This window comes from Homo sapiens, chromosome 5 (genome assembly GCF_000001405.40).
Source record: "Homo sapiens chromosome 5, GRCh38.p14 Primary Assembly".
Taxonomy (NCBI): domain Eukaryota; kingdom Metazoa; phylum Chordata; class Mammalia; order Primates; family Hominidae; genus Homo; species Homo sapiens.
The window spans coordinates 1,408,267-1,432,819 of NC_000005.10; the positions used below are offsets into that span (position 1 = coordinate 1,408,267).

The following is a 24,553-nucleotide window of genomic DNA, read 5'->3' on the forward strand; positions in this document are numbered from 1 at the left end:
CTCTTGATCTCGTGATCTGCCCACCTCGGCCTCCCAAAGTGCTGGGATTACAGGCGTGAGTCACCGCGCCCGGACCACACATTCATGGCGAGATGCCCTGGCTCGGCCTCGCCACTTCCCTGGAAGTGAGCTGGCCAGGTAAGCGGAGCTGGCACTCCTGCCCATTTTACAGAAGAGAGAACTAAGGGGAGTCGAGGTGACTTGGCCAGGTCAGCATGTGGGGAAAGGGCAGCCCTGGCTCCAGGCTGGGTTTTCTGTTGCTGTTTAAACCACTGGTGGAAGTCCCAGGACACAGCTGGGGCAGCACAATGGGCCAGGAGCTGCACCCCGTTCGAGCGCCGCCCGCTGATCATCAGGTCCCGACTGCTCTGGAGCTCTGGTCAGCAGGGAAGGCGATGACGGCACCTTTGAAAGGCACCATGTCACATCCCTGCTGAAACCCCAGCATGGATCTGATTGTGTTCCCCTGGGTGGGATGGGCTCACCGGTGCCTCTAGCGTGGAGGAGGCAGAAGACGCCCAGCCGCTGTGAACACCTCTGACCACAGTGTGCCTCTTCTGGCTGCCATCCAAGCTAAGCACCTCACTGATCCCATCAAAGGGACCAGTGCCAAGCCTCTCCCCTCTGCGGAGCTGTGATGACCACAACCCAGGCTTCCTGCAGCTGAAAGGTGTTTCCTCACGGAGCCTTTTTCAGAAGGGGAGTGGCACAGCCACCAAACAAGAGGGTGCCGGCTTGGCTGCCTTCCCCCGGACTCACCATAGAACCAGGCCACTCCGATGGCTTCGATGAGCACTCCAAAGAGGATGGACGTGCCGGCTGCAAAATGGTCCAGGAGCGTGAAGACGTAGATGCCACCCTGGAAGAGAGGGGAGCCTGTGGACCTACAGAAGGGCTTTCCCCAGAGGTAAACCCAGCCTGGGGATTCACTGTGCACACAAATTGTTTCACTCACTGCAAAACTCTGGTTTGAGTCCCTAAAATTCAACCCACATGCAGCTTCTTAGGGCCACGTGTATTACAAAAAATAAAAATAAAAATGACCTCTCCTTTCCCTTCCTAGGGCTTCATGTGCAATTAGAAATGGAAGCAACCGAATGCGGAACTTGGCAGTGCCTCCCTTGGAGAGGGAGTGGCCTGGGCTCCCCCTCCCACATAGATAGGCTCTGCCACCACACCCCCAGCGTCCCCCAGTCCCCAAACCCTAGAAGGAGGCAGCTTCAGCCTGGGGTGCTTCTGGGGGAGCTGTCCAGGTGCTGAAGTGACTCTGGGACCAAGCTCTGGATGTGCAGTTACCCTGTGCACTGCTACGAGTCATTTTCTGGGGTGGGTGGGTTCGCAGCTCCCTGGAAGTGCTGCGGTTCTGTCTGGCCTGACAGTCCCAGCCAGGGCGCCCCGTGCCACGTGCTAAGGAGACATGACCAGGAGAAGGCGAAGCCGGCGATGGTACGTACGTTGGTGACGCAGAACAGGGACAGGAGGAAGGTCGCCAGGACGATGAAGAGCGTGAAGAGCTCACGGTGTCTGTGCAGCAGCTGGAACTCATCGATGAGCCCGGTGATCACTGACTCCATACCACCCATCTGCACACAGAGCACAGGGTCGGGCTGCAGGCTGGCGGCGCTCCTGACCGCAGCCTGGGCCAAGACCTACTTGTCACCCAGTGGACGCACACCCGGGGATGGACACGGAACAGGGGCCACATGGCCGTCCAGGGTGCAGGATGCCTGGTAGTGAGGACAGCTGTTGGCGAGGGCTTCTATGGCGGCACGACCGCAGGAGAGAGGACCCAGAGGGACCACTGTATCCACGGTAGGGGGTTTGCAGCCTCTTCGATGTCTCTGGGTGGGTAAGATGCGGCATGGCTAAAACAATGCCACCCTGTCCACTGCTGCTGCACGGGCTCAGCTTGGCCAGATTTTCCTGAGCAAGATGCGTCCCCCACACAAAGCTTTCAGCTGCACCTGGCCTTGTCATTGGCTACGCCTTCCCGACGGAGCCTCCTGACTCCTGGCATCCTCCTGTGGGACACCGTCCAGGCACCTGACTCCTGCTTAGTGACCTTCTTCACCTTGCTCGGTCCAGACCCCTCTTCATGCTCTCATGTCAGGAACATGAGGCCTGTGGTCAACCCAGGAGCCGTGGACGAGGTGGATAGGATATGAGTGGGGGGCCGGGTGCATGACCAGCGTTTATAAGGCAAGGGATTCTGGGTTCTTTGGTCCCAAGCAGCTGACAGGGAAGAAGGAGCCTGAGAAAGTCCAGCAGGCCCAGGGCCGATCAAGGGCTGGACCCGCCACCCCCAGCAGCTGGAGGTGCAGGGGCCACACACAAAGCATTCAGGGCCAGGCCTGGGATTGGTAGGTGCCAGGAACTTCTGTTGCCCTCCTCATTCCTCATGGGGTAGCTGAGGCTTCCAGGGAAAGCCACGAGATATGAAGGACCTGCTGTGTGCCCTCCAAGGCCCCACCACTCTGGTGTCCGGAGCCAAGTCTTTGGTGGCTGGGGCCCTGCTACACGTGCATGCATGTCTGTGTGTATGTGTGTGTGCATGCGTGTGTGCATGTGTGTGTTCGTGTGTGTTCATGTATGTGTGCGTGTGTGCATGTGTGTATGTGTGTGCATGCATGTGCATGGTGGTGTGAATGTGTGTGTTCGTGTATGTGTGTATGTGTGTGCGTGTATGTGTGTGTGTGCATGTGTGTGCACATTTCCAGGATCTGTAGGTGGCTCAGGGCAGGGCACACAGGTACCCCAGAGTAGGGGGATAAAGGGAAAGGTAAACTCCAGTCACCACTCACTCCAGCCCCGAGAAAGGTCTCCCAAATAATCACGGGGCTCGCCCAAGTCAAGGACAGGAGGTCTGGGGGCCGTACGTGAGCCCAGGGATCTTGCCTAGCCCTGGGAGGGCAGGGCCCCCTCGGGTGGAAGGAACCCAACTGCCGAGGACAGGGCCGGGCGGTGCGGGTTACTCACGGCGCTGTCGATACCCAGGGTGAGCAGCATGATGAAGAAGACCACGGCCCAGGCTGAGGACAGAGGGAGCGTGGCGATGGCTTCCGGGTAGATGATGAAGATCAGCCCTGGCCCTGAAACAGAACCCGCCCTGCTTGCCACAGAGCCCACGCTGTGCTCTCCCGCCCATCCTGCCCCACCCCGCCCCGAGAAGCATGGCCTGCCACAGGCCTGTAGAGACTAGGGCTGGTGCGGCTCTGCTGAAAAGCCCCCTTCTATATGTCCAGCAGACCAGGCCTGGGACTCAGGAAAGCGGAAACCCAGAACTGATCAGAGGGCTTTGGTTCATGCCCACCACCCAGCAATGGGGCTCCTCCAAATTACCTGGGTCCTTTTGGGCTATGGGGGTGCTTGGGGAAGGAAGGGGCAGAAACAAGGAGGAGCAGGAGGGGCTTCCAGGCTGGTCCTGCCCTTCATCCCAGGGACATCTGCTAATGTCCTTCGAGTTAGTTTTTCCTGCACATACCATGCAACATACACACTCAGACACACATACCATGCAACATACACACTCAGACACACATACCATGCAACATACACACTCAGACACACATACCATGCAACATACACACTCAGACACACATACCATGCAACATACACACTCAGACACACATACCATGCAATATACACACACAGACACATGCGCGCACATGCACGAACACTCATTTGTGCATTCAAACTCATACATGCAAGAACACATCCACATGCACGCACACAAACAGAAACATGCACGTGCATGCACAAACATACACAAACACACACAAATCACACACGTCCACACTATTTAGTAGCCTAATTTCTAAAATTAGCAAAACATTTAGGGATACATTCCTGACCTCCGCCTTCCAGGCACATGAGGAAGCTGAGGTCCTCCCACCCTCCCGTGAGGTTAGACGTGGCTGCACTTGGCCAATGTGCTGTGAACCCACAGTGAGCGGGTCCCTGCGAGTGAAGCTTGGTAGAGGAGTGTGTGGCTCCTTCACCACCTCCCCTGCCACGGGGTCCCGCAGGCCATATTGAGACAGGCTCCTGTCAGCTGGGGCCCTGAGGGCTCAGAGGAGCAGCACATCCTGATGGATACAGGGGCCCAGATGGTGGCTTCGGAGATAAGAGACAAACCTGCTACCTTGCTATCCCTGCAAGCGAGGGGCACGCCAGGCTGAGGGCGGCATGGCAAAGGCGGAGGAGGTGTTCCCCCACAGCTCTCTCGGGAAACGACACGTGCTTCCTGCTACCAGCAGGCAGACTCGGATGGAGGTGGAGGGGACGAGAGTGTGGCAGGCAGGCGACCAAAAGTCAACGCAGTTTGGTCTCTGATGACCCCAAAGTAAAAACCAGTCCCATAGGCAATTGACCTTTGACCAGTTCAGAAGCCTTGCATCCTCCACTGGCTGGCACCATCTCCCAAGCCCAATCTGCCTGCAACAGAGTCCCCTGTCCTCAGCAGGCACGTGTCTGGCCCTAGCCTGCAGGAATAGGCCTGCGCCTGGCCTTTTAAATAATCAAAGGCCAGAGCCAGGGGCCGTTCCTAAAGGTCTTTCAGGGGCCTCACTATCAGCCAAGCAGCGGGGTCAGACCTGGGCTCTCGCAGCTCCCAGATACCCTGGTGGATGGGGACAGCCTCCGCGTGGGGTGGGGGAGGCAGGCTCGCCTGAGATGTTCCGGGGCTTAGATGGTACCAGCCAGGAGCCTGGGAAGATATTCATCAGCTCAGGGAATGTAATGTCAACACCCGTGCCTTCGTTTCTGTACCTAAGTTAACATTTCACCCTATTTTCTTGAGAATTAAGGCTGTAAATGACATTTACTTTGCTTGTCATGAAATGCACAGAAGAACATTCAACTTTATTTTCAGGGGTTAATAGAGGTTTTTGCAAACTATGCTCGTTATCATAATAAAGGGCAAAAAGAATGAAGAAAAGGCATAAATGCGGCACCGAGTAAATTTCACTGCTCTGCATTTATTTGCAGATGTTCCCTTTCTCCCGCTTTGACTGAATTTTTTTTCCTAGTGGAAAGAACATGGGCTTAGGAGGCCCACCTCTGAGCTGTGGCTCCAGCCCCGACCCTGGCTTTCTGTTGCAAGCATGGAGTGGGCCCTTTCAGGTCTCTGAGCGTGTTCCTACCTGCGGTGCGAGGGTCCTAGTGCCCCACTCTGTGAGACTCAGGTGCGGTCAAGGCTGCCCCCGCTTGGTGCTTGTCGCTCCCCGCCTTCACTGAGCCTCAACACCCAGGCAGAGATCAGTCAGCAACAACACCCACACGGGACAGGGGCTTTTCTGAGCACAATCATTCCTCACAAATGTAGTGCCCCCACCCCACCCCCGGAGAAGACAGTCCAGAGGAAGCAAGGATGGGGACGCAGCATGGGAGCCCACCCAACCCAGGCCCGTGTCTGGAGCGAAAGGGCCTCCTCCACATCCATGTGGCAGAGCAGGCCGGGAGGCAGGCGGGGGCTCTGCTGGCTGACAGAGACCGAGAAGCCTTGGGACTCCCTGGAGCTCTCGGTTGGCCCAAGTTAGGGCTGCCAACGCCACAGCTTTCCACTGCAAGCACCGGAGCCAGGCACGTGGCCCCAAGTGCCTGGGCCCACTCTCAGCCCCTGCATCTGTGCCCGTCCTGCCGGCTCCATCCTGCCTGGCACACTTCTTGCTGTGGCCAAGGCCTCCCCCCACCACTCACCTGTGCCTGCCCGAGACCTGGACCCCTCCCCACCCTCTCGGAGACAACTCCAGGCGTGCAGGGACACTCAGCGTCATGCGTCGGCCTGGGGAGCGGGCAGGGACACCCTGTGCTGGAGGCCCCAGGGATCTCCCGGCTGCTCTGTGGCCAAGCTGATGTTTGCGGCATCCCAGCCTGCCTCCAGGTGTTGCTGGAACAGCTCATTCCTCCCCTTCCCTGAGCTGCATGTTCCCACACCGCGTGGCAAGCAAACATCTAGAGGGCCCTCAGTGACAGCATCTACGCCAGACCCTGGTGGGGCAGCCTCATGTGGCATCTGCAGGGAGCAGTCGAGGGACTGAGGCACCAACTATGCTGCTCAGCTGCATTTGGGCTTGAGGTTCCCCAGCCCAGGGTGGAGGCCCCGAGAGGCACAAGGCAGGAAAGGCACTGGGTGGGGGGGCCTGGAGGGGCAGGGCGGAGAAGGCACTGGGTGGGGGGCCGGGAGGGGCAGGGCGGGGAAGGCGCTGGGTGGGGGGCCTGGAGGGTCAGGGCGGGGAAGGCGCTGGGTGGGGGCAGGTCTGTACTGGGATGTGTACCACCATCCTTCAAGAGTGAGGCAGCAACTCTCACTGAAGTCGCTCAGGGCCCATGCGTCTCCTTCCTCTTTCACAAGGAAAAAGGCTTTGCTGAGAGCTCGGCGCTGGTGCTACACGGAGCAGGCCCAGGTGCAGCAGGAGGGGCTCACCGTCCTTGGCCACGTCCCCGATGGGCACACTGTGCTTCTGTGCCATGTACCCCAGGAAGGAGAAGACGACGAAGCCGGAGGAGAAGCTCGTCAGGGAGTTGATGGAGGTGGTGACAATCGCGTCCCTGTAAGAACAAGACACGCCGTCTCAGGAACCAGCTGAGCTGCAGCAGCTGCAATTTTCCAGTCATTATTCTTAATTTACTGTGTCTGGGGAAGGGGGCGGGAGGTCTTCGGAGGGGCTACTTTTCCCAGTGAGCACGGCCAGCTCCTTAGCAGCCTGGCAGAGCTGTCCTTGGGCCACCTTGGTCCCCTAGCTGAGCTGCTCAAGGCTCAGCCATCAAGGCTCAGGGTGGGCAGAACAGACGGCCACCCCTGTGCCCCGCGAGTCTTGCTGTGGACACCTCACCCAGGGCAGATCTTCCAGAAGCTCTAGGAGCACACACCTCCCGGGGACCTCGCTAAGATGCAGATCCTGACTGGGCGGGTCTCATGGGGTCTCGGGGGCTGTGTTTCCCATGAACTCCCAAGGGCGCTGGTGCTGCGGGCCTGGGGGCCCCACTCTGAGGGCTGAGAAACCAGAGAGCTGGAGGCAAGCCGAGGACGAAGAGGGAGGGTCCTGGGGTCGGTCAGGGCACCAGCGTCCTCCTCCTGGGTTCCTGTGTGGCCTGTCACTGGGGTGGAAGGACCACACACTTCATCTGCAGAGCACCTGGACCCAGGTGGACGCAGGTGGGCTGCGGGCAGGCGCTGCCTCAGGACCTGCCTTCCAGCGCCCACTCTCAGTGAAGCCTGCTTGTGGTCTGCCTGGCCATTCTGCTGCACACACTGTCCTTGTATTTTTACCGTGTTTCTAGCCTCATGATGTGAAAGAAAGTAAGCACAAGTCCATAAAGGTCAAAGCAAGCAGATCCCGGATAAAATTCTGTTTCTGTTTTTAGAAGGATTTGGGGTCCGGCACGGGGCTTCAGGTGCCTGCCAGTAAGTAACACGGGGTGCATATGGGATGGGGGGACACACTCAGGGGGTTGTGAAGCTGGACCCTGAGCGAGGGAGGACAGAGACCCCCCGGGGCTGGTGTGAGGGAAGAGGGTGTGTCCTTGTGGAGGGAGGGGCTGGCCTTGCCACTTGGGGCCCTCAGTGGGGAATCTGGCCGCAGGTCAAACCTAGGCAGGTCCCTCCCAGGAGGCGACACACCCACTGGCTTCAGTGCCTTCTTTAAAGTTGAAATCAAAATCGTGTTGGGAGCTGCCTCGCTGTCGCTTCTGTCTGAAAGGCCACGCAGCTCACAGGTTTGCGGGTTCAGTGGATCCGCCCTGTTCTCATCCAGGGACACCCTATTTCTGGAAGTCAGCGACCTCTCCCTAGTATTGATGAGGCCCCTGCCTGGCCCTGCTAGGGGCTCACCTGTAGCAGTTGTTGGTGAACTTGTTGTAGCTGGAGAAGGCGATCAGCACCCCGAACCCCACGCCCAGGGAGAAGCACACCTGGGTGGCCGCGTCAATCCAAACCTGCAGAGCCAGAGGGCGGTGAGAGGCTGTCCCAGGAGAACGCAGGCCACAGGCAAAGGACCTGAGCACCCTTCCTGTCCCAGCCCCACACTGAGGCCTCTAAACTCAACACCATCCTCAAGAAGTAAATGGCAGCAGACGACTGGTGGAAGATGCAGCCTCAGGAAGTGAACCCTCCCGGGCCAGCGGCCTGGAAGAGCCTGAGAAGCAGGGGGCTGTCTGTGTTCATTGATCTGGGATTCCCCATGGAGTATCAAGGCAGCGATTCCACAGAACCAGAGGTGCCCTGCTCCATAGCCCTCAGAACAGCATGGACTCATCCACACACGGCATGACCACAGCATCCTAATAACCCTCGGAACAGCACGGCCTCATCTACACAAAACATGACCACAGTGTCCTAATAACCCTTAGAACAGCACGGACTCACCCACACACAGCATGACCTCAGCGTCCTAATAGCCCTCAGAACAGCACGGACTCATCCACACACGGCATGACCGCAGCGTCCTAATAGCCCTCGGAACAGCACGGACTCATCCACACACAACATGACCGCAGCGTCCTAATAGCCCTCAGAAGAGCACGGACTCATCCACACACAACATGACCGCAGCGTCCTAATAGCCCTCGGAACAGCACGGCCTCATCCACACATGACATGACCGCAGCGTCCTAACAACCCTCGGAACAGCACAGATTCATCCACATGCTGCATAATGGTGGCACCCTGATAACCCTCAGAAAGTCATGAACTCATCCACACACAACATGACCGCGGCGCCCTGATAACCCTCAGAACAGCATGGACTTATCCACACTCACACCAGCCCTAGCGGGGTCTCCATCCTCCCTTGATCAGGGTCCAGCTTCACAACCCCCTGAGTGTGTCCCCCCATCCCATGTGCGCCCTGCTGCATGATGGCAGTGCCCTGAAACCCTCAGAACAGCACAGACTCAACCACAGGCTACATGATGGCGGCTTCCTGATAACCCTCAGAACATCATGGATCATCCACAAGCTGCATGATGGCGGCACCCTGATAACCCTCAGAACAACATAAACTCATCCTGAGGCTACATGATGGTGGCGCCCTGACAACCCTCAGAACAGCATGGATCATCCACATGCTGCATGATGGCAGCACCCTGATAACCCTCAGAAAGGCATGGACCCATCCACATGCTACATGATGATGGTGTCCTGATTGGACGCACACCAGCAATGCCTGCTTTGTATCCTTCCCAAAACATGAGCAGTACAGGTGCACAGTGGCACCTGGGCATGGCCAGGAGCCCACCTGCAGCTTAGACACTGGTGCTGTGCCTGCCCAACTCGGTGGATGGCACCCACAACTCTGGACGTGAAAGGAAAGGTGGGTGGGTCCACGATTGGACCATTGTGGTATTTTAAAAAGTCAGCCACAACCTGCTAAGGTGAGGGCACTGCGGAGACCATTCAGTGACTCAGATGCCCACCTTGCCCTTCCCTGGGCCTTGGATGGGGGAGAAGGAGCAGCCAACCCCCCCTTGGAGGCATTTGAGGGACTGGTCAGTTAGGGCTGTTCCTGCAAGTCCCTGGAGCCCATGGTACAGGCCTGTGGGCCAGGATGCTGAGGCAGAGACACCAGATGCTCCTGCTGGGGAGGCCAGGTGGGTCTCAGGGCATCCCAGGTCCCAGGTCAAGCTTGCCTGAGCTTGACTGAGCAAGGGAACTGGGTGCTGCAGAGGGGGCGGGGCCCTCTGTCCTTTGGGCAGCATGTCAGAGCCTCAAGGCAACCCCAGTTCCTGGGACAGTGTGTTTGGAGGCAGATGGCCAGGCCCCGCAGTCAGGACTCTGCAGGTGGCCAGTGTTTCAGCATGAGGGGAGGAGCCAAGCCGAGAGTGGCTGGGTGGGCAGTGGGTGGAGAGGCTCATACCCTGATGTGGCTCCCATGCTGGTCATCAGCCACCTGCCTGGCCAGGTAGCTGCAGGCTGGATCAGGTGTCACAGGGGAGCGCCTGCCTCCTCCTCACCCTGATCTGTGTGTGCAGCTCAGGCCTCTGCCCAGTGCCACACCAGAGCCAGTGCCCATGGCTGCCTCCCTGGGCCTCACCTCATGCACTTTCACTCCAGGACCTGCAATTGTCCTTTCCTTCCATTTCTTTCCTGATTTCTCTTCACTATACATCAATCCATCATCTATTATCTATCAATCAATCATCTATCTATCTATCATCTATCACTGTCATCTATCAATCCATCACCAATCTATCATCTATCTGTCATCTCTATAATCTATCAACTGTCTATCATCTATGAATATATGAAGTACATGTGTGTGTATGTATCTATCTCCATCCATCCTATTGTATATCCATCCTATCTACCTACCTATCATCCATCCATCCACCCATCCATCATCCATCCATCCACCCATCCATCATCGATCCATCCATCCATGCTATCCAGCTACCTATCATTCATCCATCCACCCATCTGTCCATCATCCACCAATCCACCCATCATCCATCCATCCATCCATCCACCCACCCATCCATCATCCATCCATCCATCCATGCTGTCCAGCTACCTACCTATCATTCATCCATCCACCCAAACATCCATCATCCAGCAATCCACCCATCATCCATCCACCCACCCGTCATCCATCCATTATCCATCCATCCATCCATCCTATCTAGCTACCTACCTATCATTCATCCACCCATTCACCCATCCATCATCCATTCATCATCCATCCATCCATCCATCCATGCTATCCAGCTACCTACCTATCATTCATCCATCCACCCAGCCATCCATCATCCAGCAATCCACCCATCATCCATCCACCCATCCATCCCATCCATCATCCATCCATTATCCATCTGTCCATCCTATCTAGCTACCTATCATTCATCCACCCATTCACCCATGCATCATCCATTCATCCATCCATCCATCCATCCATCATCCATCCATCCATACTATCCAGCTACCTACCTATCATCCATTCCTCCATCCACCCATCCATTATCCATACATCCAGCCAGCCAGCCTTCCATCCACCCATCCTATCTATCCATTCTATCTACCCACCTATCATCCATCCATCCTATCCACCTACTTACCTAGCATTCATCCATCCATCCATCCATCCATCCATCCATCCATCCATCCATCCAATCTATTCACTGTCTCCACCTAATTTCTGACATCTCATCTTTGTAATTTGTTCTCCAGTGAGCATCTTTTCACATGCACTGGTGTTTGTTTTGCCTCCTCCTGGGGCTGCCTATTCTTCCTAGCTGGAGCACTAGGCTCTACGTTGTCCTTGTGGTATTTTTCTTTGATTCTGTAACATGCCATGGTCCTGCAAACACACCCCTTGGCTTCATTTTGGCCTTTCTGGGGTCCAGACGCCCTGCTGACTTCATGGTTTGTCTGGCTCCAGCTCTGCACTTGTGGGCCCCCGGCCACAGCTGATTTTGCTGCCCTGGTTGTCCTCCTCTCTCTTCCTTGGCTCCCGTGGGCCACACGCCTGCTGCACCCATGGCTCCTGTCTCCACAGGGCTTCCCCTTCAGTGCTGCAGGCACACTTCCACCCCCACCCCCACCCAACTGCTTTGCAGCCTCATAGGTGCCATGTCCAGGTGCCCTCTCTCACTGCACCTGTCAGCTGCTGCCTCCCTGGGGCTTCCTGGGAGGCTTGCAGCCATGCCCGCCCATCCCTTCTCCCCTTCCTTCCCACTTCTGCCTTGGGTTTACACTTGCCTCATGACCCCCAGACCTGGCTCCACCGGCCCACCCACACAGGGCAGCACCTCTCAACGGCCTCCTGCCTCATACCCCAGCTGAGATGGCCCTTCCCCTCTTGCTGCATTGTCCTCCCACAGCAACATGGATGCCCCTGGGCGGCTTTGGGGCCTGCCACCTCCCCCACTTAGTCCACCTGATTTCCAACGATGCCCCAAGGGAGCTGCCATTTTTGTCATGCCAGCCTTCCGCCAACAGCTGCTTCTGTTTCTGGGCCTGTTTGCCAGGAAGGGTGCAGCCCTTTCTCCTCCCTTTCTGGACAAGGGTCCCATCCCCCATGGCCCAGCTGAGTCTCCTCTCTCCGGGAGGCTTTCTCCAAATATTTTAACCCTGAATTATGTCTTCTTTTGCTGACCAAAGCTGCAGCCTGAGTCTAGATGGAGTTTCTGATGTAATTTGATTTAGATGACTCGTGCTGTATCACAGGTACTTGGGATTTGGCTTCCCGAGGAAAGAACCCTGGTGTCTGCAACTCTGACACCTCTCAGCCCTGGCAGGCAATGCATATGGAAACCTGGGAATGCCAGAGCCCCTGTGGACTGTGAAGCAGTGAGCAGACTGTACTCACAGACGCCTCGCAGAGCCGGTAGAAGTCAACGCTCAGGTATGCTCTGATGCCGTCTATGGCTCCAGGGAGGGTGACCCCACGCAGGAGCAGGGCAGTGAGGACCACGTATGGCATGGTGGCTGTGATCCATACCACCTGCAGGAGAGGACAGTGTCACCAGGCTGCACAGGCAGGGCCCTTGGTGGGAGCAGACACTGGCACAAGGGCACCGGGTTGCCCTGACGGCTTGTCCTCTGATTGGGAGGCCCAATTCCCAAACATTTCCTGGGACGCCAGCTCAGCAAATGCTCCTTGGAGTGAGAAGGTCAGACACTTTCTGTCCTGCACACCCTCCCCAGGGATGGAAAGGGAAGAACAACTTGGCAGGGAAAGCACATTCCTTTTCTGCATTCGGTCCGCCAGAGTAGCTGGGAGTGGCTGATGGGGGTTTTCTGATGCGTGGGACGTGAGTGGATTCACACTGGTGAACGGCACTGTGGCACGATGAAGGGCTGCTCTGGGCTGTGTCCCTGCGGGAGGCTCCCGTGGCTGGTGCCATACTACACGCACTTTTCCAAGGGAGGAGTCGTATCTTGGTCAAAACTGGTTTTGGCCCATATAACAACCAAAGTTTTTTTTTTTTTTTTGAGATGGAGTTTTGCTCTTTTTGCCCAGGCTGGAGTGCAGTGGCATGATCTTGGCTCACTGCAACCTCCGCCTCCTGGGTTCAAGCAATTCTCCTGCCTCAGCCTCCCACGTAGCTGGGATTATAGGCACGTGCCACCGTGCCTGGCTAATTTCGTATTTTTAGTAGAGATGGGGTTTCATCATGTTGGCCAGGCTGTTCTTGAACCCCTGACCTCAGGTGATCTGCCCGTCTCAGCCTCCCAAAGTATTTTTATCAACAAAAAAATCATCTTGTGTGTGCCTTCCTGCCAGAAACACTGCTGTGAGTGCTTCCCTCCTGAGGCCCTTCCCCAAACACAGCCACACGTGGACCCAAAACCCAACTGTGCCGTGTGTCCGCCCAGCCCAGCCACGGCCACGTGTCCCCCCACCCACCCATGGCCGCGCGTCTACCCAAGCCAACCCGGCACAGCCACAGGTGTACCCTCAATCATGGCCACGTGTACACTCCCAACCTGATTATGGCCATATGAGTCTCCCAAACTCAACCATGGCCATGTGTCCACCCCAACCTGGCCATGGCCACATTGGTAGCACAAAACCCAACTGAGGCCACACGTGCACCTCCTGTCCAGCCACGGCCACATGTCCACTTGGTGGCCCCATGTCTACAGGCCCAATTGGTGACCCCCGAGCCTCACCTTCCCTGAGGTCTTCACGCCCTTCCAGAGGCTGAAGTAGAGCAGCACGATGACCAGCACCAGGCAGGCTGTGAGCTGCCACCGCGGAGGCCCCAGGTCGTCGATGCCATGGCTCTGGTGGAGGTGCAGCACGCCACGTCTGCAGAGGGGAGTCAGCGGGGGACTCTGTGGGTGGCTGTCAACCCACCTGGAACTGGACGGCTGAGCTTGTCCGGGGACCTGCCCTCCCCATCTCAGCAGGGCAGAAAGCATCCAGTCTGATGGACAAGAGATGCCTTCCAGGGAGGTCTGGCCCACAGGCCCTGGCAGAGGTGTCAGGGCCGCCCTTGAAACCCGTGGAGCACGTGGGAGGCCCAGGAAGCCCTGCCTCACCATCTGCCCTTGGCACCCCTGCTCACTGGAGCTGCGGAGGCGGAGGGCACCTTGGGTCTTTGAAGAAAAGGAGCCACAGAAACCAAAAGGAAGTTGCTGAGCAATGCTGGGTGCCCACCACTGCCCAGTGCTGCCCAAGGTGCTGGGTGCCCACCGCTGCCCACGGTGCTGCCCACGCTGCTGGGTACCCACCGCTGCCCACAGTGCTGCCCACGCTGCTGGGTGCCCACCGCTGCCCACAGTGCTGCCCACGCTGCTGGGTGCCCACCGCTGCCCACAGTGCTGCCCACGCTGCTGGGTGCCCACCGCTGCCCACAGTGCTGCCCACGCTGCTGGGTACCCACCGCTGCCCAGTGCTGCCCATGGTGCTGGGTGCCCACCGCTGCCCAGTGCTGCCCATGGTGCTGGGTACCCACCGCTGCCCAGTGCTGCCCATGGTGCTGGGTGCCCACCACTGCCCACAGTGCTGCCCACGGTGCTGGGTGCCCACCGCTGCCCAGTGCTGCCCAAGGTGCTGGGTGCCCACCGCTGCCCACAGTGCTGCCCACGGTGCTGGGTACCCACCGCTGCCCACAGTGCTGCCCACGCTGCTGGGTGCCCACTGCTGCCCAGTGCTGCCCATGGTGCTGGGTGCCCACCGCTGCCCACAGTGCTGCCCATGGTGCTGGGTACCCACCGCTGCCCACAGTGCTGCCCACGCTGCTGGGTGCCCACCGCTGCCCACAGTGCTGCCCACGCTGCTGGGTACCCACTGCTGCCCAGTGCTGCCCAAGGTGCTGGGTACCCACCACTGCCCACAGTACTGCCCAAGGTGCTGGGTACCCACCACTGCCCACAGTGCTGCCCACGCTGCTGGGTACCCACTGCTGCCCAGTGCTGCCCACGGTGCTAGGTGCCCACCGCTGCCCACAGTGCTGCCCACGCTGCTGGGTACCCACTGCTGCCCAGTGCTGCCCATGGTGCTGGGTACCCACCGCTGCCCACGGTGCTGCCCATGGTGCTGGGTACCCACTGCTGCCCACAGTGCTGCCCACGGTGCTGGGTACCCACCGCTGCCCAGTGCTGCCCATGGTGCTGGGTACCCACCGCTGCCCACAGTGCTGCCCACGCTGCTGGGTACCCACTGCTGCCCACAAGACAGCCCCAGGGTCCCTCTCCAGGGATGAGGCCGAGCAAACTCTAGCAATAATGCCAGGCACACAGGCACCAGCCAGCACTGTTTTCTGAGGGGATGGCTCACGACACCTGCTCACAGCCCCTGCTGCTATGAGGATTCCACAAGGAACAGATTCAGTGGATGACTCTGCTCCAGCAGGAATCACTCGCAGTTCCACTGTTTTTTGAAGGATCCCTCAGAAAGGGCAGAACAGAGGGTGAGGGATGGAGCTGACCATCGGCTGTGCTCCTTGCCCCAGGCACAGGTCCTGGGCCCCCTGTCTGTGGGAACTCATTCCATCCTGGTGACACTCTCTGTGGGAGAACATGCACCAGGCTACATGCAGTCAGCTGCGTCACCACTGCAGACTGTGACTTGGGGCCAAGACAACTGTAACAGCCGTGCCGCTGCCACCGTAGAGTCAGGAGCTGTGACAGACAGAAGCCGCGTTATGAAAGGAGCTCCCACTGCCCAGGTTTGCTTCTGTTGTGGGTCCACTGAGGTCCCCAGGAGATAAAACCTGACACCCATGGTGGAGCCCGGCCGAATGCAGCCTTGGGGAGCTTTCCACCAGCTGCAAGGCATTCCAGGGCCATGTCCCAGGAATTCGGCTCTTCAAACTCCAGACACCCTGGCTGTTGCCAACAGGGAAGGCCCCACGAGCCCTGAAAGCGCTGGACAGTGCCTCCGTCCTATCCTGGAGGGCGCCCAGGCAGAGGCCCCAGGTTGGCACAGGCCCCAGGTTGGCCGGGTGGGCAGATGGCTGCACCACTGAAACCATCGCCACCATTCTCTGCTCTTCTCCAAGGGCAAGCCGCTCAGTCAAGAGGCTATCCGTCACCCGCACTGTGCAGGGAAAGTTGTCTGAGCTGGTGGAGGTCACGCCTGCCCTTCCTGGGGCAGTGGGGACTCCCAGGGCCTTCTTCTCACTCCTCCTGCCACACACCAGGCTCTGCCCCTGCTGGCCAGTCCCCGTCGTTCTGCTCCCCCAGCAAGGTCTCATCACTGAGAGCTTCTGAGGCCTCCCAGCAACTTTGTGCAGCCCGGACCACTCCTCCCTCACTGCCCATGGTGTCACTGACCCCAGCATGCCACCCGCCCACGCCTTGGCAGCCTCAGTGCCTCACACACACACGTGCATGAATTATACACCCAGACCAGACAGCACACCCTCTCCCCTTGCCCAGGTGCCTGGAGAAAAGGCAAACTCAGTCAATGCCCATACATGGCACAGGCCCTCCTGGACCAGAGGGGGAGGCCCAGGGAAAGTGCGCTGCCCCACTCAGGGCCTTCTCACAAGGTTGCGTCCACAGCACACACAGCTGGCTCAGCATTAAACATGAAAGCAACTTCAGACGCAGCACCTTGACACACTGGGTCGAGCCCCTTCTCGAGATTAGAAAGTCACTGTGCTTTGAGGTTATTTGAAAACCCACAGACAATTTAGAGAACCGGACACTCCTGAGTGCTGTCAACCTGAGAAGAGGGGTCCCCAGAGCTGACCACAGCATGGGAACCAGCCATGCCAGGAGCAGGGGAAAGCTGTGCGTCTCCCAGCATGTCCATGCTTCTGAGGGCAGGGCAGGCGAGACCATCAAAGGACATCCGGGAAGGGGCATAAGTGCAGGCCTACGTGCAGGTGTTTCATAAGCCATAATAGTTGGGAGGACCAGAAAAGTGTTGGCCCAGGATGTTCACCAGGCGTGGAAAAGACACAGCACCTCCCAATTTCTACTGGGCTCTTTTTCCTGGTGAATTCCTGGCCATGATTCAATTGGGTGACAGTGGAGCCACTGGTGGTGATCCAGGCATGCTCAGGCCTCCCATGCATCATTGTGATGACCTCACAGCAGCCCTCTCACCCCGTTTTACCAAGAGGGAGCCAAGGCAGTGAGGTGGTGAAACAAGCTTCCAAAGGATAAAATTGTGCCAAAGCACGTTAACTTCCTATTAGAACAAATCTAACACTCTCTAAACAAAGACGACAAGAGCTAAATACCCATTAGTATAAAACTCACCAAGTCTAGCATCTAATAAAAAATTACTAGACATGACAAGAAGCAAGAAATGTGATCTACAACCAGAGGAAAATCAGTGAACAGCTACTTCACATGATATAGAAAAATTAACCCAAAATGGATAAAAGAGCCAAATATAAGGGCTAAAACCATAAAACTCTTGGAAGAGAACATAGGGTAAATTTTCACAATCTTGGACTTGGCAATGGTTTCTTAGATATGACACAAAAGATGAATTAGACTTCATCAAAATTTAAAACTTTTGTGCACTGAAGGATGCTATCAACAGAGTAAAAAGGAAAACTACAGAATGAGAGAAAATATTCGCAAATCACCTATTAATCTGAAAAGAGAATAATATCTAAAATATGTAAAGAACTCCTAAAACTCAACAACAAAAAAACTGACAGCCCAATTCAAAAATGGGCAAAGGACTTGAATAGACATTGCTCCAAAGATGGTATACAAATGGCCAATAAACACATGAAGAGATGCCCAACAGTCACTAATCATTAAGGAAATACAAATCAAAAATACAATGACAGACCACTTCACACCCATTAGGATGGCTATGATCAAAACAAACAAGCAGAAAGTAAGTGTTGTCAAGGATGTGGGGAAATCAGAACCCTTGTTCCGATTTGCATCCACTGTGGGAAACAGTGTGGTGGTTCCTCAAAAAATTAAACACAGAATTATCACATAGCTCCAGCAATTCAACTTCTGGGTATCTACTCAAAAGTAGGTACTCAATATTGAGGTTCATAGCAGCATGTTTTTACAGTAGCCAAAATGTGGAAGCAACCCAAATGTCCATCAAAAGATAAATAGATCTGGCCAGGTGTGGTGGCTTACATTTGTAATTGCAGTGCTCTGGGAAGCTGAGGCGGGAGGATTACTTGAGCCCAGGAGTTTAAGACAGGCCTGGGCAACATGGCAAGACCCCACTTTACAAAAAATTTTAAAAAATTAGCTGGATGTGGTGTCACATACCTGTAGTCCCAGCTACTTGGGAGTCTGAGGCAGGAGGATTGCTTGAGCCCAGAAGGTCAAGCCTGCAGTGAGCCGTGATCATACCACTGCACACTCCAGCCTGGACAACAGAGTGAGATCCTGTCTCTAAAAAGGAAAAAGATAAATGGATAAACAAAACATGATATATCCATACAATGGAATTGAAATATTATTTGGCCTTAAAAAGGAATGAAATTCTGGTTCTGAAATTCTTCAATAAACCTTGAAGACATATGCTAAGGAAAATAAGGCAGTCACAAAAAAATAAGTGATTCTACTCAGAGGAGGGACCTAGAGTAGACAAATTCACAGAGACAGAAAGTAGAATGGTAGCTGCCAGGGGCTGCAGTGAGGGAGGATGGGGACTTAGTATTTAATGGGGACAAAATTTCAGCTTTGGAGGAGGAGAAAGTTCCAATGGATGATGGTGATGGTTGCACAACATGTGATTGTACCTAATGCCACTGAACTGTGCACTGAAAAATGGCTAAGGTGGTAAAAGCAATGCTATGTATAGCTTACCACAATAGCCCCCCAAGAAGGCAAAATACTTTTGTGTAAAGCCCAAGCTGAATCACTGCCAGCAAGTCTACGCTATGAGAAATGTTAAAGGAAATTCTTTAGATGGAAGGAAGATGGTCTTAAATGGAAACCCCAATCTACATACAGGACCGGACAGCACTAGAGATGGTGCCTATGCAGGTAAATATAAAACATTTCTTTGTTAGATTTATTTAAAATGTAAATGCTTAAAGCAGAAATAACAGCAAGGTATCATGGAGTTGATACATATTGTAGAAAAAATCTATGACAACAATTGCACAAAGGATGTGAGGAAAACAGAAGTCTACTGTTGTAGGCCCTTCTGCTCTGTGAAACGGTATCATGTCACTTGAAGGTCAGTGTTGTAAACCCTATAAAATCCACGAAGAAATGAAAACAGAAAGCTATAGTTTATTAGCTAATAGTGTTGATAAAATGAAAGCCTAAAAAATTAATTCAAAACAGGGAATAAATAGAGGAAACAAGAAACAAAGAAGAGAGGGGGCAAAAAATTAGCACAATGAAAGACTTAAAGCCAGCCATGCTGACAATTATTGAATGGAAACTCTAATTAAAAAACAGAGATTGCCATATTGGATAAAAAGCACAACCAACTCGATGGTGTCTACAATAAATCCATTTTATATATAATGACACATATAGTTTAAAAATAAAAGGCTGGAAAAGATAATACCACACAAACAGTAATGATACGAAAGTTGGGGTGGCCATATTACTATCAGACAAAGTAGACTTCAGAATGAGAAATCTAACCCAGAAGGATAGTTCAAATGGTAAAGCGGTCAATTCAAAGACTAATAATAATAAACATGTATGCACTTCATAGCAGAGTTTCAAAATATGTGAATGAAGCAAATACTGATAGAAGTGAAAAGAAATAGACAAATCTACAGTTACAGTTGAGATTTCAGTACCCCTTTCTCAGTAACTGATAGAGCAAGTGGACAGAAAACCAGTAAGGATGTAGAAAACCTGAAAAACACAGTGACCTAACATAACCTCTCTGACATTTATGCAACTTTCCAACCAAAGACAGCAGAATACATATTCTTTCTAGGTGCATGTGGAACATTCACCAGTGTAAACCATCTAGTAGGTCATAAACAAGTCTCAATATATTTTAAAATATTAAAGATGTATAAGCATATCATCTTGCCAAAACAGAATTAAATTAGAAATCAATAACAAAAATACCTAGCAAACTTCCAAATATTTCAAATTAAACAACAAACTTCTAAAAATGCCCTGTTAGTCAAATAGAAATCAAAAGAAAGATTAGGGAATACTTTGAACTGAATGAAATGAAAACACAGCATATCAAACTTTGTGGGATGCAGCTAATGCAGTCCATTTGAGGCAAATTAATAGCTTTAATTTATAACTTTATAATTTATATTAGGCAGTGTCGATAAGTATTTATGGAAGTGGGGAAACTGTAAACTGGTCACAGTTATGTGGTCCTGTGTTGGGGTTTTGAAATGAAAACACAGCATATCAAATGTGTGGGATGCAGCCAATCAATAATCTCCAGGTTCCTACAAGGAAGGGTTCCTTTTATTTCTCTCCAGGAACCATTTCTGCCACCTCCCTCTGGTGGGTGGGCTGCTGCCCAAGAAGGAAGTGGCAATGCAGGAAGGCTGGCTGGGACCCCTGGGGGCCAGGGGTGCCAGCAACTCCCACAGGATACGTTTCATTTGCCAACCCTGAGGAACACTGGGTGTAGGAGCCAGCACTGCACACGGCATTCATGGCACATGGAGGAAGCACCATTAGTGGGGCAGCTCAGCAGTCTTTTCTGACTTAGGGCCCAGAAGACATGGCCAGCGTCTCACCCAGGCCTCACGGTTACTTCCTGAGGACCTGTAGTAAAAACGCACGATAAAGCCCTTTCAGATCTACTCTTGCTAACATCTTAGTTGTCAAATTTATGACACGTCATGTTTCGTACATTGTGTAGGAAACTCAATCCCTTTTGTGTTTACTGACAAAGTCAGGCATGCCCATTATCTAGGACAAAGAGCTGCACTGTCACACATCACAGCCACTCTGGCCTTTATGGCCTTTCACAGTGAGACATCCACTCCCTGATTACATGCGCTGGCAGGAACCCGACATCCTTTGTCCAGTGATCTGCTTTATAAAGCAGGTTTGAAATCCAGAACACCCCTGGCAGACCTGAGTACGTTATGACTGTCCTCCCTGCTCCCCAAGAGTCACTGGGGCCTGTTTCAGGGGAACCTCAGTCCCACTGGTGGGAAAATCACCTTCAGAAGGTGTGGGAGGAGTGCCAAGCACCTCAGTGCCTTGGGTCATTAATCATTTGTGAATTGATCTTAAACCTTCTCCAACTCCCCACGTCTGCTCTTGAGCTGCCGCCAGCTAAAGTGTACCACGTGCCAGTGCGGACAGGGCTTCTGAGTGAAGGGCTGGGCACCTTTCTGTTTCCTTCCTTCCTTCCAGACTGAGAACTTCCAAATAGACTTCGCTAGTCTGATCGTTTAAAATAATAACACGTGTTCTTTCCTTCTAGCATTCTTAACAACGAATCACTGGACTAATCACTACACTAAGTTTTCCTCTCCAATTCTGTTATCTGAACATCACTTCAATGAGTCAACATTTCCCACACTGCCCAAACAAAAGGAAGGCAGTCCCCACATGGCAGCACTTGGCAGCTTTAACAGGGCGTTGGGTACCGGGAACTCTCAGGCTCTTGCCCTGGTGGCACCTCTGCGGCCACTGCCCCTGGCTCTGTGTGCCCCCCACTTTCTCCTGCTGTCCCCTCTCTTTGATCACATGCTAACCCTGAGAGCTGGGCACACAGCAAGAGCACATGCAGCCCAGGCCTGGGGTGTTCATAGGGTGTTTAATTAGGGAAATGTAGGTGTGAACAGGCCATCCACACGCAATGGGAGTTTTCTCCCTCGAGAATGTTAAAATCTACTTGGACAAATGGTGTGACTGTGCATTATTTGGACAATTTTATCATTTCCCGCTTGCCTGTCACCCACGAGAGTCCTGCCCAGACTCTCCCACGACCTTGCCTGCAGCTGCGCTTCCTATGGCGATGCTCGTCCAAGTGTCTTCAGGCAAACAACCAGGACTCATCCCGGGTGCATCTTCTCTCCCGCCTGCCCCACCTTCTGAAACCAGCCCTCCTCCCATGAGCGTCTTCCTGGCGCCCCAGCCTGGACTCTCTCTCCTCCTGCTGGGTACTTGGTGGGCCACTCTCTCCCATCGTGGCACCGTCCTCCTCAGAGTTCGTCACTCTTGTCCACTCCCAAACCACAAGAAAGGCCCACACAACGCTCACCCCACGCGACCCATGGTCTTCCTCATGCTCTAAGAAAAACGCCGGGTGGCCCCCCAAAACCTGCCTCCGCCCCGGCTCCTCACCTCCAAGGCCAGTCCCGGCAATATGCTTCCATGCCCGAGGAGGAATTCTAGAACCAAGCACTTGGGTTCTGAATATCTGAGTGCAGAGCAGTTTGAGAGACCGAACGCCTGCCCACCATGAGAACTGGTCCCTTTCCGGCAGCATCAGCCCTACTTTCTCCAAGCCACACCCTCCGGCCTGCCCGAAGGCTCCATCTCAGCCATCTCTGACAAGACCCCCAGGAGAGGGCGAAGGTCCCTTCCTTGCAGGAAAAGACCTCAGTGATGTCTGTTGATACGGTTTTCAGATATAGAAAGCATCTCTCTGGGAGGCTGTGCGCCCCGAAGGTGCCCTTGCAGACCAAGACCAAAGTTCTCGGGGATGATCCTCCCCCAGCAGAGGCGAGGTGGGGGCTTCTCTGCTCACCGTGACTTGTACAAACTTAACATGAGATGCTTCATTTGCTTTCAAGCTCCCTGTTTTCTGACTCAAAACAAATTTTGCAAAGGCACCTACTGGCTGTTAAAACTGGAATTAGTCTTACTGGTCAAAGTTCCTTTTCCTACCTTGAAGTGGACTCATTTTGGCATATAAACGTGAATAAGATGCGTCTAACCAGGCAAGCGAGCCCCCCAAACAGGAGCGCCCTGGCTGACGGGAAACACTGGATCTGGGGAGAATCGCGCAAACGTCCTCTCCTCCTCTCCAAAATGACGGCTGAGTCGAAGAGTCCGCCTGTCAGAACGGCGACCCGGCACGAGGCCCCAGGCCCGGCTGGCGAGGGCAGGAAGATGTGGATGGCACCCGCCAGATCCAGATTCCGGGAGGGGTCCAGGGGAAACAGGGAACCCCTGGGTGTCAGTAACGACCCTTCCAGGCTGGGCCAGGCCATTGGTGACGAGGGAGGGCCAGCAGGAGCTGGCACGGGGCCCAAAAGGACTTCATCGGAGACATCGGGGTCCAGGAAAGCAGGTGCTGCAGGTGGATGGTGAGGGGCGGGCCTGGCCTGGGTGGACAGTGAGGGACGGGCCTGGATGGGGTGGACTGTGCGGGTTGGGGCTGGTCGGGGTGGACTGTATGGGTTGGGCCTGGCTGGGATGGACAGTGAGGATCAGGCCTGGCCGGGGTGGATAGTGAGGGATGGGCCTGACCAGGGTAGACAGTGTGGGTTGGGTCTGGCCGGGGTGGACGGTGAGGGGTGGGCCTGGCCGGGGTGGACCATGAGGGGCGGGCCTGGCCGGGGTGGACGGTGTGGGGTGGGCCTGGCCGAGGTGGACAGTGAGCGAGGGGCCTGGCTGGGGTGGACTTTGTGGTTTGTGCCTGGCTGGGGTGGACAGTGAGGGTTGGGCCTGGCTGGGGTGGGCAGTGAGGAACTGGCCTGGCTGGGGAGGACTGTGCAGGTCAGGCCTGGCCAGGGCAAAGGGAGAAGGAGACAGAGACCCAGGAGGCTGCTGGACATGGGATACGCTGGCATGGGAGGTGGAAAGAGGCCCAGAGACAGAAATAAAGCCATGCAGGTAAACAACAAAACAAAGTCTTGTGAAAAGCGGACGGCTGGGTCACCCTGGAGACAGGGGCTGCCTACTGAAGCCAGAGACTTCTTGCGCAGTGACACCCAGAAAGTTATCTTTTCTGGAGAGGGCAAGGGCCGGAGTGAGGCAGTTCGGCCCCATGCTATGCACAGAGGAAGGGTAGGGAGGAAGGGAGCCCAGACATGGGGCTGACTCACTCCAGAGGCGCCACTGCAGCTCCCAGAGACTGGAGCTTGCCCACCTTCTGCACAGGGTCTGCTGTGTTCCCCATCAGCCCCCTCCCACCCTGAGCTGCCGCTGGGAGCAGCCAAGGGAGCTGCTCAGTGCCCCATCCTTGCTGAGGGCTCGCCCTACAGGAGCTTTGCTGAGCTCCTGGAGACCACCACAGTGATTCAGAAATGTGCCCCTCCAGAGCACTAAAGGGATGGAGTGCAGGAACAGATTCCCCCTCCCCGCACCCTGGGAGTCAGCAAGGGCTGGTGTCCAACCAAGGGGCTACCATGGGGGACCTGGCTGCGCCATCTCTCCCGTTCCCGAGGACCCGACTCCCACTTACTCAAAGTACTCGGCAGCAGGTGTGGTCCCAAAAGTGTCGTTGAGGCCCGAGCTGTCTCCACTGGAGTCACCAGGATGGGCATCCGAGCAGTTGGGGCTGTTCCAGGAGTTGTTGCAGTGGATCCAGGGGAGCTCCGTGGTGAAGGAGGAGAAGAGATAGTGCAGCGCCCAGGCGATGATGACGTTGTAGAAGAAGCCGACATACAGTGAGATGAGGATGACCGTGAAGCCCACACCTAGCGGGAAGGGGGAGGCCATGGAGCCCACGCAGGTGGAGCACAGAGCCACCATCAGCAACGTGTCCCTTCCACCTCCCCTCACGGGAGACATTACCCTGAGCCCACAACTCCTGGACAG

At 55.0% G+C, this 24,553-nt stretch overlaps 1 protein-coding gene across 1 annotated transcript in view, besides 4 other annotated features; it reads right to left on the minus strand.

Moving 5' to 3' along the window:
• SLC6A3 (solute carrier family 6 member 3) overlaps window positions 1-24,553 on the minus strand; it is a 52,647-nt gene that overhangs the window by 15,473 nt on the left and 12,621 nt on the right. Inside the window, exons 4-11 of the mRNA NM_001044.5 lie at window positions 24,198-24,432; window positions 13,610-13,748; window positions 12,303-12,437; window positions 7,832-7,935; window positions 6,425-6,549; window positions 2,977-3,089; window positions 1,455-1,583; window positions 760-859 (exon numbers count right to left, since the gene is read on the minus strand). Of these exons, the coding sequence (NP_001035.1) occupies window positions 760-859; window positions 1,455-1,583; window positions 2,977-3,089; window positions 6,425-6,549; window positions 7,832-7,935; window positions 12,303-12,437; window positions 13,610-13,748; window positions 24,198-24,432 (1,080 nt within the window). The remainder of the gene's footprint in view (window positions 1-759; window positions 860-1,454; window positions 1,584-2,976; window positions 3,090-6,424; window positions 6,550-7,831; window positions 7,936-12,302; window positions 12,438-13,609; window positions 13,749-24,197; window positions 24,433-24,553) is intronic.
• Window positions 4,294-4,794: an enhancer, noted in NCBI's record as "H3K4me1 hESC enhancer chr5:1412675-1413175 (GRCh37/hg19 assembly coordinates)". NCBI's record gives its function as "activates a minimal SCP1, AML or CMV promoter by ChIP-STARR-seq in naive H9 embryonic stem cells {active_cell/tissue: H9 hESC(naive)}" and the evidence as "EXISTENCE:reporter gene assay evidence [ECO:0000049][PMID:30033119]".
• Window positions 6,501-7,473: an enhancer, noted in NCBI's record as "H3K4me1 hESC enhancer chr5:1414882-1415854 (GRCh37/hg19 assembly coordinates)". NCBI's record gives its function as "activates a minimal SCP1, AML or CMV promoter by ChIP-STARR-seq in naive H9 embryonic stem cells {active_cell/tissue: H9 hESC(naive)}" and the evidence as "EXISTENCE:reporter gene assay evidence [ECO:0000049][PMID:30033119]".
• Window positions 7,474-8,446: an enhancer, noted in NCBI's record as "H3K4me1 hESC enhancer chr5:1415855-1416827 (GRCh37/hg19 assembly coordinates)". NCBI's record gives its function as "activates a minimal SCP1, AML or CMV promoter by ChIP-STARR-seq in primed H9 embryonic stem cells {active_cell/tissue: H9 hESC(primed)}" and the evidence as "EXISTENCE:reporter gene assay evidence [ECO:0000049][PMID:30033119]".
• Window positions 14,404-14,929: an enhancer, noted in NCBI's record as "H3K27ac-H3K4me1 hESC enhancer chr5:1422785-1423310 (GRCh37/hg19 assembly coordinates)". NCBI's record gives its function as "activates a minimal SCP1, AML or CMV promoter by ChIP-STARR-seq in naive H9 embryonic stem cells {active_cell/tissue: H9 hESC(naive)}" and the evidence as "EXISTENCE:reporter gene assay evidence [ECO:0000049][PMID:30033119]".